This window comes from Homo sapiens, chromosome 1, assembly GCF_000001405.40.
Source record: "Homo sapiens chromosome 1, GRCh38.p14 Primary Assembly".
Classification (NCBI taxonomy): Eukaryota; Metazoa; Chordata; class Mammalia; order Primates; family Hominidae; genus Homo; species Homo sapiens.
In genome coordinates, this window is record NC_000001.11 from 187,242,980 (window position 1) to 187,260,396 (window position 17,417).

Genomic DNA, 17,417 nt, shown 5'->3' on the forward strand with positions numbered 1-17,417 from the left:
TAACTGCATTAAAATAAACCCTTTGATAACATTTACTGAATATTTACTATGCAACAGGTCCTCATCTAAAAGCACTTCTCATGAATTAATGTACCGAATTCTTACAACATTCCTTTAATATAGGTATTATTATTCTTTTCTTTTTGCAACCAAGGAAACAGAAAAATAGAGTTGATTAAGGTTACACAAGTAGAAAATGGCAGGTGGTTTAGCTCCAAAACTCATGTTACTGTATTTTAAAACTCATATTCAATAAAATATAACATTCTGGTATATTTTAGTTATATCTCCCTTCATACCATTCAGTTATAAATAATACGCTTGTGATAATTATTTTTAGTTTGAGGGACTAAGGATTTATCTTATTTTTATATTGTTTTCTTTCATAATAAATATTCTCATCTTCTGTCCCATTGTCTTTCCCTGTTATTTCTGCTACGGCACTGTTCTAATGTTGACTCATATTAATGTTATAATTATTTCGTAGATGAGAAAACAGAGGCATAGGAAGGTTAACGGGTATTCCCAAGGTCACAGAGCTAGTAAGTGGTAATGCAGGGATTTAAACTCAGGCAGGTCAGACAGAACCCATGCTCTTTATTAGATTATGTTGCCTATGTTTAAAAGTGTTCAAATTCAGTCTTTTACATTGAAAATAACTTTTTTAGGTAGAATGAAATCTCTTGTTTATATTTTTGATCTATTATTGATAGATAGTATTTTTAAAAGAGTTGTAGAATTTAATTAAATTATTCTCATTTTATATGTGGAAAAATGGAGCTATAGATGCAAATGAAAGAAAGTAGGGATTTATGAATTTCTATTCCCTGCTTAACTTTTGTTGATACTTCAATAGTTGCAAATCTTTTTCTAAAACTTCAAGGGCATCCCCCAACATTCCATATGATAACTCTTTTGAAGCCCTTTGTGAAGACATAGATAACTTTCCAATTCTCTTTGATGTAAATGCCAATTTAGATGCTTACAGAACTCATCAAATTTTACACTATTGAGTCATCACTCAGCTGAGAATGGAATGGGGGCATTGATATAACTAGTAATTGAGTTGTGACAACTTAACATATGTTGTGGTCTTACCTGTATCACACACTGTGCAAACTCCTTTGTCTGCATTATACTAAAAAATAATTTCAGCAATTGTAGGGTGGTCACTGATTTTGTTTTTCATTTTATATGTCAGAAAATAAAGACAGATAGATCAATGTCATTAATTTCACAAGCTAATAAATTTTGCAAGCTGATAAGTAGAAGAGCCAGGATTTTAGTCCACTTGTTTTGTCTTTGGGTTTGACTCTAGCGCCATCTTAGAGGTTGCCAAAAATCAACTTTTACTTTTATTATTAAGATTTCCTGTTGGCTTTTCATAATAAAATATACGAATCCACAAAGTAAGCGTTGTTGGAAGGGCATGCAAAGGGCCCTGAAAGAAAATGCTTTTTTTTCTGAGGCTACATTTTGTAAAATTTTTCCATGGAATGTTAGGATGTTAGATATAACTATATGAATACACATATATACATATATATGGAGAGAAATTTCGCCACAGAAATGATAGAAATCATTACTAAAGGGAAATTATAGCAAAAGAACTTAGAGTGTAATTTTTAGCTGGAGAAGAAACAGTATAGTTAGTGATTAAGTTTTTTTTTTTTTTTTTTTTTTTTGGTCTGAGAACATGTTTCAAGATAGAAGAAAATGAAGAAAAGTAAAATAACAAGGTCAGGGGCAGCAGATGTATCCTCCTTGTTGTCCTAGGGAGAGAACGACAAGCAAGGAGCTGGCAGGAAGCCCAGAAACCTGAGGTTGAAACTCTTAGCATTATTTCATAGCATGCCTAAAATGCTGACATGAATGAGAGGCCTCCAACAGGTATGCGGAAGACTCTGACGACTCAATGACAGTGGTCGATTGTGTTTCTGTGATCACTTGTACTGCAGCAGGGTAACAAATATGAAAGGGTGACAAGAAAGGGCAAAAAAATATTCAAAAGCTTGTATTTGCTACACTGAGCTTTAGGGCAATGGTTATTTTATCCTTTTTGTTTTATTATTTTTCAAGTTTTTTTTTCCTAAACCTCTTTGTCCCTATAGGATAGTATTCCTTACTCGTTCATGATTTCAAAGCACGTGTTGCTTTCTCTACAGACATGGTCAGACCCTATTTTGAAATAGATGACATTTTCATTGCTTACTCTGTTCAACTTTTATATTTAATTTTCACTGGGATATCCACTACTTTTTTTTCTCACTGGGCATTGGCTTATACTTGGGGAAACTATATCATCTAAACTTAACTTTACATTCAAGCTTGTCTGTTCTTTGAGAGTGGATGTTAGTGACTTGATATATTATGCCTTGTGGGCAACGTATTTGCATTTTTACTGGTGCTTTTTGAATGCCTGATTCCATAAAAGAAACTTATAGCATTAACATTATAAAGGAGGTGAGGTTTTTCCTCTAGTAGTGTTTGTTAACTCTTTCCCAAAAGTAGCCCTTACCTCTATTAGTAATCTAATACTCTCAGGGGCTATATTATTAATACTCCAAATATTTATTTAACATATATTTATTCCATATTTACTATGTGGCAAGTACTAAGCTTAGCAGAAGTGTGGCAAAGATAAAAAAGACAATCCCTGTAGTTAAGAAACTCAAAACTAATAGAAAAGGCTGACACAATTATAAAGGCTATCAATTTCTTCCTAAATATTTTATTCTTTTTGACGTTATTGTCAATGGGATTGTTTCCTTAATTTTTTGGATAGTTTGTTGTTAGTATATGGAAATGCAACTGATTTTTGTATGTTGATTTTGCATTTTGCATACTTTAGTGAATTTGTTTATTAATTCCAACAGTTTGTTTTTGGTGGAGTCTTTAGGGTTTTCTATATATATGATCATGTCATAGGCAGAGACAATTTAACTTCATTTCCAATTTTGATGCCTTTTATTTCTTTTTCTTGCCTAATTAGTCTGGCTAGGTCTTCCAGTACTCTGTTGAATAGAAGTGTCAAGAGTGAACATCCTTGTCTTTTTCCTGAGTTTATAGGAAAATCTTTCAGTTTTTCATCATTAAGTATAACGTTATTATATATATTATTTATTATGCTGAGAAAAATTCCTTCTATACCTAGTTTATGCAGTTTTCTTAAATCATGAAAGGGTGTTGAATATTGACAAATGTCTTTTTCTGCATCTATTAAGATGATCATATAAATTGTATCCTTCATTTTGTTAATGTGATATATCACAATTATTGATTTATATGGGTTGAACCATCCTTTCAACTCAGAAATAAATCCTACTTGATCATGGTGTATGATTTTTTAAAATGTGCTGTTAATTTGTTTTGCTAGTATTTTGTTGAGGGTTTTTTCATGTATGCTCATCAGGAATTGTATTAGTCTGTTCTCATGCTGCTAATAAAGACATACCCGAGACTGGGTAATTTATAAAGAAAGAGGTTTAATTGACTTACAGTTCCACATGGCTGGGGAGGCCTCACAATCAAGGTTGAAGGCCAATGTGAAGCAAAGTCACGTCTTAAATGGCGGGAGGCAAGAGCGCTTGTGCAGGGGAACTCCCATTTATAAAGCCATCAGATCTCATGAGACTTATTCACTACCATGAGAAAAGTATGTGGGAAACTGCTCCCCTGATCCAATTGTCTGCACCTGGCCCCACCCTTGACACTAGAGGATTATTACAATTAAAGGTGAGATTTGAGTGGGGACAGAGCCAAACCATATCAGGGATATTGACCTTTAATTTTCTTTTCTTGTAGTGTCTTTATCTGACTTTGGTATTATGGTAATGCTGGTCTCATAAAATGAGTTTGGACTCAAATAACCCTTCAATTTTTGGAAAGAATTCAGGAAGGATTGATATCTTTTTATGTTTGGTAGAATTCACCAGTGACACCATCTGGTCCTGAACTTTTCTTTGTTGGCAGGTTTTGATTACTGATTCAAGCTCTTTACTCTTAGTTTCATTGATTTTTTCCTACTGTCTTTCTAGTCTCTATTCTACTTATTTCTGCTCCAGTCTAAATTGTTTTCTTCCTTCTGCTGACATTGAGCATAGTTTGTCTTCTTTTCCCAGTTTCTTGAGTTGTGAAGTCAGTTTTTTGAAATCTTTGTTTTTTCTCAGTGTATAGACATTTATCACTATAAACTTCCCTTTTAGAACTGATTTGCTCTATCTCATAATAAGACATTTATGAAAGAACTGAAGAAGAACACAAATAAATGGGAAGATGTTCCATGTTCATGGATTGAAAGTTAATATTGTTAAAATGTGCATACTACCCAAAGCAATCTGTAAATTCCACTACCCAAAATGATCTACAGAGTTAATGCAGTTTCTTTCAAAATTTTAATGTTGTTTTCCACAGCCATACAAAATATTCTAAAATTTGTTTAGAACCAGAAAATTTGTTTAACCTAAATAGCTAAAACAGTCTTGAAAAAAAAGAAGAAAGCTGGAGGCATCACACTCCTTAATTTCAAAATATATGACAAAGCTGTAGTTATCAAAACAGTATAGTACTACCATAAAAAGAGACACATATGAATATGTGTCTGCCAACGAAGCAGAATAGAGAGCCTAGAAATGGATCCGTACATATCTGGTCAACTAACCTTTGACAAGGGCACTACGACTACACAATGGAGAAAAGATAATCTCTTCAATGAATGGTGTAAGGAAAACTGAAAATCAAAAAATCAACAACATTTTAAAAATGAAATCAGACCCTTATTTTACAACATGCATGAAAAGTAACTTTAAATTGATTAAATACTTACATCTTTAAGTCTTAAAGATCTAAAACCATAATACTTCTAGAAGAAAACATAGAAAAAAAATCTCCTTGACTTTGTTCTTGGCAATGTCTTTTTTGATATGACATCAAAAGCACAGGCAACTAAAACAAAATTAAACAAGTGGGACCATCAAACTGAAAAGCTTCCACATAGCAAAGGAAATAATCAAGAAAGTGAAAAAACCATACATGAAATGAAAGAATATATTTGCAAACCAAACATCTGATTAGAGATTAATATTCAAAATATAAAAGGACCTCACACAACTCAAAACAGACAAAAATATAACAAAAAATTTTAAAAAGGATCAAAACACCTGAGTAAATATTTTTCCAAAAAGATGGACAAGAGGTATGTGAAAAGATGCTTAACATCACTAAACATTAGGGAAATACAAATCAAAACCACAATGAGATATGTTCTCTTACCTATTAGGATTACAGTTATCAAAGAAGACATAAGTGTTGGCGAGGGTGTGGAGAAAAGGGTACTCTTGGGCACTATTAGCAGGAATGGAAATTAGTACAGTCATTATGAAAAAACAGTGTGGAGGGGCCCCAAAAAATTAAAAATAGAACTACCATACAGTCCAGCAATTTCACTTCTGGGTATATACTCAAAGGAAATGAAATAGATATCTTGAAAATATATGTCTGCAGCCCCATGTTCATTGTGACATTATTTACAATAGTCAAGATAGGGAAACAGCCTAAATGTCCATCAACAAACGAATGGATAAAGGAAAATCTTAAATTGAAAAACATATTCCAATATAGAAAAATGGATCTTCGCTGGGTGTGGTGGCTCACACCTATAATCCCAGCACTTACAGGTTGGCAAGGTAGGCAGATAGCTTGAGGTCAGGAATTTGAGACCAGCCTGGGCAACACAGTGAAACCGCATCTCTACAAAAATACAAAAATAAGTCAGGCATAGTAACGGGTTCCTGTACATAGTCCCAGCTACTTAGGAGACTGAGGTGGATGGATTGCTTGAGCTTGGAATTCAAGGCTGCAGTGACCCATGATTGTGCCACTGCACTCCAGTCTGGGTGACAAAGCAAGACACTGTCTCAGACCAAAAAAAAAAAAAAAAAAGAGAGAGAGAGAGAGAAAAGAAAGGAAAAAAAAAGTATCTTCAAGTTATATATTCAGCAGTTCATCTATTCAAAGCCATGGCTTAATAGCTCATGTACATAAATTACTTTCTATCCTTTCTGTCTCTGAATTTCTTCACCACTTGTAAAACTCTTTATATTTACTCTCAGAGATGGTAACCTTCAGAAATGAAGTCTTGGAAGTTCAGTATTTAAACACTGAATTGTGAATTAATTTTTCTTTTCCTCCTCACATCTTAATTGGGGCTATACCTATATATATAGAGAGATATCCTACATGAAAATATCACATATGTCTATGAATTTGCATATACGATATTAAGGGAGCATAAAAAAATTACATTAATAATTTTCCTTCTTTTCAAAGATGCCACTAAATAGGCCACCAGAGAGTATCAAGTGAATGAAATCAACCACTCACATAGGTTTCTCAGAGTCATTGGGCTTTTATTCATTTAAGGCTGATGTCATATCTATTCTAAGGAATCTCTTACAAGCATACACCATGAAACTAGCAGCAATATGGTCTTGAGCAAGACAGTTTGGTTCTGGAGACTTCAGGTTTTTTCCTAATAAAATGAAATGTATGTAAGTATATATAAAATAATGTACTAACCTGTCCAAAAAATCAAAGAGTCTATTCAAGAGACACCTGTGATGGATTTCTTTTTAAATCTGTTTGCAAAGAAAATATTTTAAAATGTTTAATTTAATATTTTATTTTAAAATGTATATATGCACATTTCATATCACTTAACTCACCTACATAAGCTTTTAAAATACATTATTAAATCATAAACTTTTATTTTTAATGAGCTATATAATTAAAATTTGTTATAAGATTACATTTCCTGGATTTTAAATATTAGTTTAACCTCTGCACTTGGCAACATGTCTACTCACAGTAGTTTTTTCCCCTGTTTTTTAAAAAGTCACAGTACTTTAGAAACGCTGAATTAACATTAAAGGGAAAAAAATGAAATCCTCCTTTGATCTAACCTTAGAATAATCCCAAAGATTTGTCTTAACATATGCCAGAACAGAATTATTATATTTTATATACAAAAATGAATCAGAAAGCCAGGTGCAGTGTCATGCATCTAAAGTCTCAACTACGAGGGGGGTTGAGGCAGGAGGATTGCTTGAGCCCAGGAGTTCAAGGCTATGATTGCCACTCTGAATACCAACTACATTCCAGCCTTGGCAACCTAGCAAGACCTCATCTCTAAAACAAACAGGCCCAAAAAACTAATCAGGAAAACATTCACATACAAGGCCTTTTATAATATATAAGCCTTGAAAATGTCAAAAAATTAAATTTTACTTTTGAACCAGAATGCTCTTGGAAAAAAGTTCATATTCTTTTGTTTATTTTTTCACATAAAATAATAATTGTGGACATTTTCTTGGTCCTGCCTGTTCATTTTGGAAAAAAAATTAAGTTCAACCTCATAAATTTCCTCTTGGACCTAACATAATTATTACCGAGATATTTTGATAGATGGCAGTTTGAAAAGCTTAAATGATTCATCTAACATGACACAGAAGTCTGTATGAAGTCTGAGAATACAATTCATATCACTGGGGTAATCATTAAGAAATTTCTCTATCTTTTATTTTAAAATGGATTTTAGTTTGCTAGCAGAATCAAACCACTTGTTATAAGTCATTTGTTGAACATGCACTGTTTACTTGATACTTGAATCCATCTCCCTGACTTTTCAAATAGAATCTAAACTTTTAATTCTCTTTCTTCAGTCAATTTAAATACACTAGCCTTCATTATAATGTTCTGAGTATATACATGATAGACATTCACTGGTGACCACGGAGTATCTATGTATTTTAAAAAGCCTTTGCCTAAGACATAGTGGCAAGCTCCTTCTCCAATTACTTTTGCTTCTGCCCATCTTACTAAATTGTAATAAAGCACCCAGGTTTTCATGTTTAACTATCCTTGACTTTAGCCCTATTCACTCTGTCTTCAGCCCCTGCCTTACTGCTTAACAAATACTAAGTGCCAAATAATTGTTTGTTCAAAATCTAGAAAGTGGAGAAAACAAATTAAAACAGTAAAGCATTTCACGAAGTATATTTCTAAGAGATAACCAAATTTAACATTATGTTTAATTTAACAAAAATATATAGTTTCAAATAGCTAGAAGGAGGGAATGAATGTTCTCAACAAAAAGAAATGATAAATGTTTCAGATGACGGATATGCTATTTACTCTGATCTCATCACTATACATTATATGCTTTGAAACATCACTATCTACCCCATGAATGTGCACAATTATAATATGTCCATTAAAATAATAAAATGAAAGAAAAAATGGCTTAAAGACAAAAAATGTTGTAAAAATTTAAGATTTTTGGTCTAATTTATGTATGTATATATATGTATACATTTTGTATACATTACAATGAAATACTTTATTTTATAATCTTCCTGATTCCTATGAGATATAACAAATACCTTATTAAGAGAATTTAATTGTTATCAAAAACTTTTTGGACACATTTAATAGTCCCAATATAATAGTTCATTAAGTCCTTCTGAAGAAGAAAATAATTACTACTTTTAATCATTCATGAATGCATTCAACAAATGTATTAAGTACTATGTGCCAATATACTTGAAAAATGCAATTTATTCACATTTTCATAGTTTTGTTTACAAGATAAAATATTTAAAAAACAATTTGAAACAATATTAACTTGTTTAAATAAACTACATTTTACTGAATTCTGTGCAACCTTAAAATTTATGTTAATAAATAATTGTTTATAATGAATTGTTAATTGAAAGTATAAACACTCTATTTGGATCTTAGTAGTATTTTAATTATTTCTGTAGCCATAATATATAAAGATAGCAAAAAATTATATATTGATAATTTTTTTTTTTTTTTTTGGAGACGGAGTCTCGCTCTGTCACCCAGGCTAGAGTGCACTGGTGTGATCTTGGCTCACTGAAACCTCCGCCTTCCAGGTTCAAGCAATTCTCCTGCCTCAGCCTCCTGATAGCTGGGATTACAGGCCCACACCACCACACACAGCTAATTTTCTTGTATGTTTAGTAGAGACAGAGTTTCACCATGTTGACCAGGCTGGTGTCAAACTCCTGACCTCAGGTGATCCACCCGTCTCAGCCTCCCAAAGTGCTGGGATTACAGACGTGAGCAACTGCGACTGGATAAATTATTCAAATGAAATATTACTTCTTATGTATGAAATGAATAGATGTGATGTTTGCCTGAAACTGCCTATTTGCTCATTCAAATATATTTAAGGAACACCTACAATGTGTTAGACCCTCAGTTCTGCCTCCGATTCCATAACTATTGCCTGAAAAATTTAAAGTTAGATAATATATTTTAATAGGAGAAAAGAAATATAAAATTAGTATGCATGATAGCAATTTTACGTTAAAAAGAAATTAATATTACAGTGCATATTAATCTTATCAGTATCATACACATTTAAATATTCCCTGTTATTTTTTCAAAATAAAATTTTATTTAGTTATCCATAGTTACTAGGAGAAATTGTCATCCAATTTGGAGTAGCAGAGTGATCAGCATTATGTGTAGACAGAATGATTCTTTTGGGAAGAGATTATTTACCTGAGCCGATCATCTTTAGTGTGATTTACTCTACACCATTTTTTATACCCATCCAATATTTAAAAAACAAAATACAGACGTTTGTTCTTTCTGGGCAGATTATTATGTGAGCTATTTTTATGTTTAAGTGTTTTTGCCTCAAAAGGAATTATAAAATAGATTTTAGTAGTTTTCCAGTAAATCATCACATTTTAAAAAGGTATTGGACATTTTGATAGAGTTGCAGATGAAATGGGATTGACCAGTTTCCATTTAATGGTGCACACACACACACAAAGGGCAATAGCCTCAGAAGATAAAAGCTGAAAGTGGAAATGATTGAAGTCCAAAACATTCTGAGGGATGTGTATACAGTAACTTCAGATCTTTTTATTTGATCTCTAATTACTAGAATAAGGGTGACTTTTCACACTTGAAAGTGATTATAAACATATGAAAGTCATTTCCCAGAAAGGTGATGTTGTTCAAGAATAGTTCAGATAAATTAATTGATGGCAGATGCATGTCAGCTTGTCAAAGGAAGTTAGAAATCTTCAATGTAACATTTTGAGAGCTCACTTACTGGAATGCGTAAATGATTGATCTGCTCCAGGATGACATTTTTCTCATATTTTCACAATTTTACTGGTAATAGAGACAGTTAATGTTTCTTGTCAATTTATTCCAATAATTTTGTGGCAGCAAATTATTTGTTACACTGCTAGAGAGTCATAATCCTAGTATTTTCCTCCCAAATCCAAAAGCAGCCTTTAAAGGAGAGTAAAGACTCAGCATCTCACAGGTGCCAGGGTCTTATTTCTTGAGTTAATGTGAAGGAAGTAGCTTCTCTCGTGTCATTTGCGTTTTTGAGACCTGACATTTTCTCTGCTCTAGCCTAAGAGCATGAGCAGTTTTCCTTGGGAAAGATGCCCAACCATGCTGACCCATCCCTCATTCAGGGCGATTTTCTGTCTTGAACCAACTTTTTTTACTTTTGTGTTTTAAAATACTCATAGACACAGAATTTATACTTTGTACCACATCACTTTTTGTACATTATTTCTACTTCCAATAATAATGTTGTCAATATATGTATACATGTATGTATATATCACCATGGTAACGGACTAACAGAAATCCTTTCTTAACTGACAATTAGTTTATTTGTGTGTGTTTTTTTTCATTCTATTCAAATCATAAGCTTCTTTTAGAGGAAACATCTCTTACAGGTCTAGAACTCTCTTATATAAGTAGTTCTTGAAGGAATATTGAATGCATCAGGAGGCTAAAAGCTAGATTTTTGTTATGCCTCTCTTTCAAGACTTTGACCAGGCCACTCATGATTTCTGGATATTAGCATCTACATTTTTAACATGAAAGTTTTAAATTATATGATCTCCAAAGTCACTTTCTTTCTAAGACTGTATGACTTTGTTATTCTAAGGAAATTCCAAAATACTTGCTGTACAGTGAGACCAGGAATGATAACTCTGGGAAAAGGAAAATCAGTGAATAAAGAGGTAGATTTATTTAGATGAAAATACGTCATCACATAACATAGTGTACCATAAAAAGACTTTTATGCTCCTACTGTTGCCTAAGAAGGGGGTATTAATTGAAGAACTCTTGGGAGAATAGGATTTTGAAACTTTACTAAGAAGAATGTAAAACTTCTTTCTTACAAAACCAGTAAGTTCAGGGTAGAATTATCCTCTTCATTATCATTTTGATACTGGTTTTAGCAGTACTAATTAGATCTTGGTTATGTATTTATTAATTTAATTTGATACATAGATGATTGTGAATTTTTTTCACTTCAAAACTCACAGACAACTTCAACTAATGTTGAATGCCAAAGTGTAAACGTTGATCGTGTGACAAATGTAAATTGATTCATGAGGAGAGACTGTGGTTTGGTGCAAAGAAAGTGTTCTGGAATTGGAAGATCTGGATCAGACTCAGGCTCTGTCAGATAATGGCTGTATCATCTTTGAAAAGTTAAGTAACTGTCTGGGGCTCTGTCTCTTTGTCTACTATATGATGATAAAAATACCTAATTTACACTGTTACTCTGAGAAGTAGATGCTAAGTAAAAAGACCTTAGACAAATTCTTATCATATGGTAAATACATAGTAGTGGTTTAAAAAATCAAAAAAGAGGCTTGATGCAGTGGTTCACACCTGTAATCCCAGCACTTCGGGAGGCCAATGTGGGAGGATTGCTTAAAGCCAAGAGTTCAAGGCCAGCCTGGGCAACAAAGTGAGACACACTGTCTGTACAAAAAACAAACAAACAAACAAAAAAGGAATAAAGTTTTACAGAGGTAATATTTGGAAGTGAATTTTTAATTCAATTATGACTGGATTTTTGTGCTTATTTTTGCTTGTTTTTGTGTAGTCTACATAATGGTGACATCTTTTTTCAGGCAAAACAATCTACTAATGAAATCAGAAGGATTTCCAGTGATGCTGCCCACATTTCTGTGAAAAAGAGGAAGTTTTTTAAGTCAGATGGAAGTTACACTTTTTCAAAAAAAAAAATATGCAGGGAAGAATAACTCTCTCTCATCAATGTGGTAGGAAAATAAAATATATTAATAGTTAATAAGTAACATTTGTTGAGAATTTATAATATCCTAGTTGAGAATTTATAATATCCTAGATATTATGCTATGCTGTTTATATGCATTATTTCAAAAATACTCACAATTATGAGTTATGAATGATCCTTATGCCTATTACAATGATGACAATTCTGAGGCTTAGGTTAAATAATTGCAAGAGTTCACAAAAGCAGCAAAGGATTGGAACCAAGACTTGAATGCAGATGACCTGACCCAAAGCCTATGCATGTAACAGTTTTTTATATTGATGTGTGTAACGGTTAACTTTATGTGTCAACTTGACTGTACCAGGGGGTGCTAAGATTAAATATTATTTCGGGGCGTGTCTGGGAAGACATTTCTGGATGAGATTAGCATTTGAATTAGTGGACTCAGTAAAGTAAATGTTCCTCCCCAGTGTGAGTGGTCATCATTCAATCCATGGAGGGCCTAAATAGAACAAAAAGGCAGAAGAAGGTGAAATTCACCCCTTTTACTTCCTGCCTGCCTGCTTGAGCTAAGCCATTAGTCTTCTCCGATTCTTGTACTGGGATTTACATCATTGACTTTCCTGGTTCTCAGGCATTCAGACTCAGACTGGAATTACGCTGCCGGCTTTCCTGGGTCCTCAGCTTGCAGAGGGCAGATCATGGGACTTCTGTGTTTCCATAATTGTGTGAGCCAGTTCCGAATAATAAATCTCTCTCTCTCATGTGTGTGTACGTATATATATATATGATGGATATAGATATGGAAACATATCCTATTGGTTTTGTTTCTCTGGAGAACCCTTACTAATGCTATGCTTCTTTGCATCACTGATAACTAAAATTTTATTTTATTCCCTCTGTGTCTCTAATTTATGAAAACTTGGACAAGTTAAATGACTACACAAACCCTGAGTTTCCTGAAGTGCTAAAAAGTGAATAATTACACCTATCTTATAGAGTTGTCGTAATGGCTAAAAAAGAAAGAGAATGAATATAAATTGCTTAGCAATATGTCTGGTGCATAGACTGTGTAATAATTGAGACCATCATCTGAGAACGTGGACAGTGTCATATACCCTTTAAAAGCAGCAGAATTGGGACATACAAATGAAGGAAGAAGGCAAGAACAAAATTGACTGTTATCAGGCACTTACTACAGCATTAGGGTAAATGACTTCTTATCAATGTAGCTGATAATGTCTCTTGTTTAAAAGCTTAGCTTTGTGACTAGAATAAAGAAAAGCTGATACCACTTAGCAATTATTTAGGTACTTTCTACAAGGGAATCTCTAAACTACTTAGAAGGACATGGAGCATTTTGAGACACATAGAAGGAATTTAGCCAACCTAGACAATGGGGGAAGAGAAATATTTTCCAGGATAACATAAGGACATTTTCATAGCAACACTTGGCCAAGGGTTTCTATCAAAACACCAAATAATAATATAAAAATTCAGATCATAAGTTCTATGTGGTATTTGCAATTCTGAAATATATTGCTATAGAAACTAACAGGTAGTATGCTCTCTGACTCATTTTAATTGTGTTGGCTCAGAACCCATTCAGGCACCATTGTAAATTGATATATAGCTGTGAGGTAGCCTGTAAGACTGTCAAGATTCTCATATTCAGGGTGGGCAAAACCTTATGATCAAAATTCCCAAATAATTTTGTTTGACTGAAAAAACCTTCCTATTTGTGTGTGTTGCAACTTACTTTTTTACCACATAATTACAGAAAAAAGCTAACTTTGAAATGTGAAGTCATATGAGTTCCTCAGGATTTTCTCGGGACTATCATTGGCTTTACGCAGATAGAGAAAATTTATTGCGTTCATCTTCTGTATCACTTCTCAGCCCTATCTGCAAACATATCTATTATCCAAAACAATAAATGATCTTTATTATTAAAGAAAGTCAGATATGGCAAGACTTCACAACTTGAAGCTGATTTAAGGGTCTTATAGCCTGTTAAACCACTTTGTTGCAAGTAAAGTCTTTTAAAAACCATAATCTGTGTTTTGGCTATCAGAAGCAAATGTTATTACATATAGTCCATCATGAGAAACCAGTGAAAATTAGTGGGATAGTCTACTTATTGTTTTGTTGTATGCCTCTTAAAAATATAATGAGTTTCAACATTTTTATAAATAGTACATTGTGATGGTTAATTTTAGCTGTCAACTTTATTAGGCCACAGGATGCCCAGATATGTCATTAAATATTATTTCTGGGTGTGTCTATGAGGGTGTTTCTGGAAGAGATTAGCATTTGAACTTCTGGATTAAATGAAGCAGATAGCCTTCTCAATGGAGGTAGGTAGCATCCAATCTGTTGAGGGCCTAAATAGAACAAAAAGGTGGAGGAAGGTTAAATTCCCTCTCTGCCAGACTGTTTGAGCTGAGACATCAATCTTCTCCTGTCCGTGGCACTCCTAGTTTTCAGACCTTCAGATTTAGACTGGAATCTACACCGCTGGCTCTCTAGCTTTCAGGCTTTCAAATTAAACCACAGGCTTTCCTCGGTCTCTAGATTACAGATGGCAGATCATGGGACTTCTTAGTCACCATAATTGCCTAAGACAATATTTTATGATAAATTCATTTCTAGGGATTCTGTGTGTATGTGTGTGTGTGTGTGTGTGTGTGTGTCTCTGTCTCTCTCTCTCTCTATATATATATATATTTTTTTAATTTTTGGGTATGTAGTAGGTATATATATTTATGTGGTATATGAAATATTTTAATACAGGCATGCAATATGAAATAAACACATTATGGAGAATGGGGTGTCCATCCCCTGAAGCATTCCCCCTTTGAGGTACAAAGAATCCAATTTTATTCTTTAAGTTACTTCAAGATACAAAATTCAGTTATTATTTACTGTAGGTACCCTATTATGCTATAAAATATAGGTTTTATTCGTTATTTTCTCTTCTTTTTGTACCCATTAACCATCCCCACCTCCCCTCCAAACCCCCACTAGCCTTCCCAGACTCTGGTAACCATCCTTCTACTCTCTATGTCCGTGAGTCAAATTGTTGTCATTTTTAGGCGCCAAAAATAAGTGTGATGTTTGTCTTTCTGTGCCTGGCTTATTTCACTTAACATAATGACCTCTAGTTTCATCCATGTTGTTGCAGATGATGGGATCTCATTTTTATTTGTTTATTTATTTATTTATTTTTTGAGACGGAGTCTTGCTCTGTCGCCCAGGCTGGAGTGCAGTGGCACAATCTCGGCTCACTGCAAGATCTGCCTCCCAGGTTCACACTATTCTCCTGCCTCAGCCTCCTGAGTAGCTGGGACTACAGGCGCCTGCCACCATGCCTGGCTAATTTTTTGTATTTTTAGTAGAGATGGGGTTTCACCGTGTTAGCCAGGATGGTCTCGATCTCCTGACCTTGTGATCCACCCGCCTTGGCCTCCTAAAGTGCTGGGATTTTATTTTTGTTTATGAGTGAATAGTACTCCATTGTGTATATGTACCACATTTTCTTTATCCATTTATCTGTTGAAAGACACTTCAGTTGCTTCCAAATCTTAGCTATTGTAAATAGTGCTGCAACAATCATAGGAGTACAGGTATCTCTTCAATATACTGATTGTCTTTCTTTGGGGTATATGGGCAGTGGTGGGATTATTGGTCATTTGGTAGCTCAATTTTTAGTTTTGTGAGGAAACTTCAAACTGTTTTTCATACTGGTTGTACTAATTTACATTCTCATCAACAGTGTACAAGGGTTATATAAACCATAGGTATAATTCAATTTAAATTTAAATTAAATCTATAGTTAACACGTTTGAAACATTGATTATTTGTTTATTTTTTATAATTTTTAAAAATAGAGACGTGATCTCACTGTGTTGCTTAGGCTGGTCTCAAACTCCTGAGTTCAAGTGATCCTCCCATCTTGGCCTCCCAAAGTGCTGGGATTACAGGTGTAAGCCACTGTGCTAGGCCAAAACATTGGTAATTTAAACTTCTCAGATCATTATAAAGAAAAGTGAATTTTAAAATATCTTCATGAATTAAATTTCAGAGAAACAGGGTAGAAACCTGGGTACCCATTAGAAGAATAAAAGGTTTGTGACTGAGAGAAAGAGGGAGGAGTATGAATCCCTGCACATTCATGTGGAGCCCACTGGTGTTTACAAACCTATATGAAGATAAAAGTTTTCATTTTTAGGAGTTAAATTAGGAATGAGCTTAGGGTGATATTTGAAATGAAGAGAAAAGGAATTTAACATTTACCAGATTCTTCACCTAGAGTAACATGTAGAAGAATCACATACGCATCTATTAGAGGAAACATCTTTCTTTATTAGCATGCACATCACTAATTAGGGAGATACTAACTTCAGGATAGAAGTTAATTAACTGTGAGATCAATACCTAATGCTGATTTCACTTTTTACATCTCTCTAACAACACTAAACTAATAAAAGCATTATGTTCTTGAGTAAAACTTACTTGACCAGAACCTTAAAGTAAATAGTTTCTGAGGCTCCCATCAAGAAGGAAAAGGTGGTGGAGTTGGTAAAAGTTGGGTGTTCACCAAAACCAAGTAAAACTAAGATTATACGATATGCCAGCTTATCTGAGTTATGTAAATAATATATTCTTTAAAAATGGTCACAAATAAGATTGTTCATTATTTCATTATATAATTTGTACATGGACTTTCAATAAAATTTATTCTGTTTATATCATGGTCAAAATTTTTTTTCCGGAGGAGATAAATTATATCTTCCTCTTATTAAAGTTCAGAATTCCCAGGCTTAAAGTGAGCACTTTATGTTTCTTGAGGAGATTCTCATTTTTTAGTGTAAAAGATTTTGACCCAAACTTGGGGCCACATCAGAGGGAAGATGGGATATCCTTTGTGTGATACTTTTTAATCTGCTAGGTAGCAATTTTAGTTATGGGCGCTTTGTCCTAAAGGCAGTGGCAGCAGGACAGTATCTCTGTGTTGTCATTATCCAATACCAGTGTCCAAAGTGTCTATTAAAAAATATTAATGTTAGAGGCTAAGCATTAACTATCCTGAAACCGAGCATGAAATTGAAGTGTAGAACGTACTTGAAATCATTCACTCTCCTTATTTCTCTCTCTCTAAACCAAAGACTTGGCATTCTTCCCCCAAGGTACAGTATCTGTGTTTTTGTAATGACTTTTTTTGTTCCAAGCTAATTGCTTTAGAATGCTCTGCTACATTTCGCATTTTTTATGGGTCTCTTGCTAGAGACTTGAGTTA

The 17,417-nt window shown here is 33.6% G+C and overlaps 2 long non-coding RNA genes across 3 annotated transcripts in view; both read left to right on the forward strand.

The window, feature by feature from the left end:
- LINC01036 (long intergenic non-protein coding RNA 1036) overlaps window positions 1-17,417 on the forward strand; it is a 267,403-nt gene that overhangs the window by 150,138 nt on the left and 99,848 nt on the right. The gene's annotated exons all lie outside the window — the stretch shown is intronic.
- LOC105371655 (uncharacterized) lies at window positions 10,912-12,882 on the forward strand. Of its 2 annotated transcripts, XR_001738341.2 has the most exons (3): window positions 10,912-11,564; window positions 11,994-12,143; window positions 12,753-12,882. It is a non-coding gene; the product is annotated as an uncharacterized LOC105371655 (long non-coding RNA). The 2 variants fall into 2 exon arrangements; XR_007067041.1 differs by having other exon boundaries at window positions 11,994-12,882.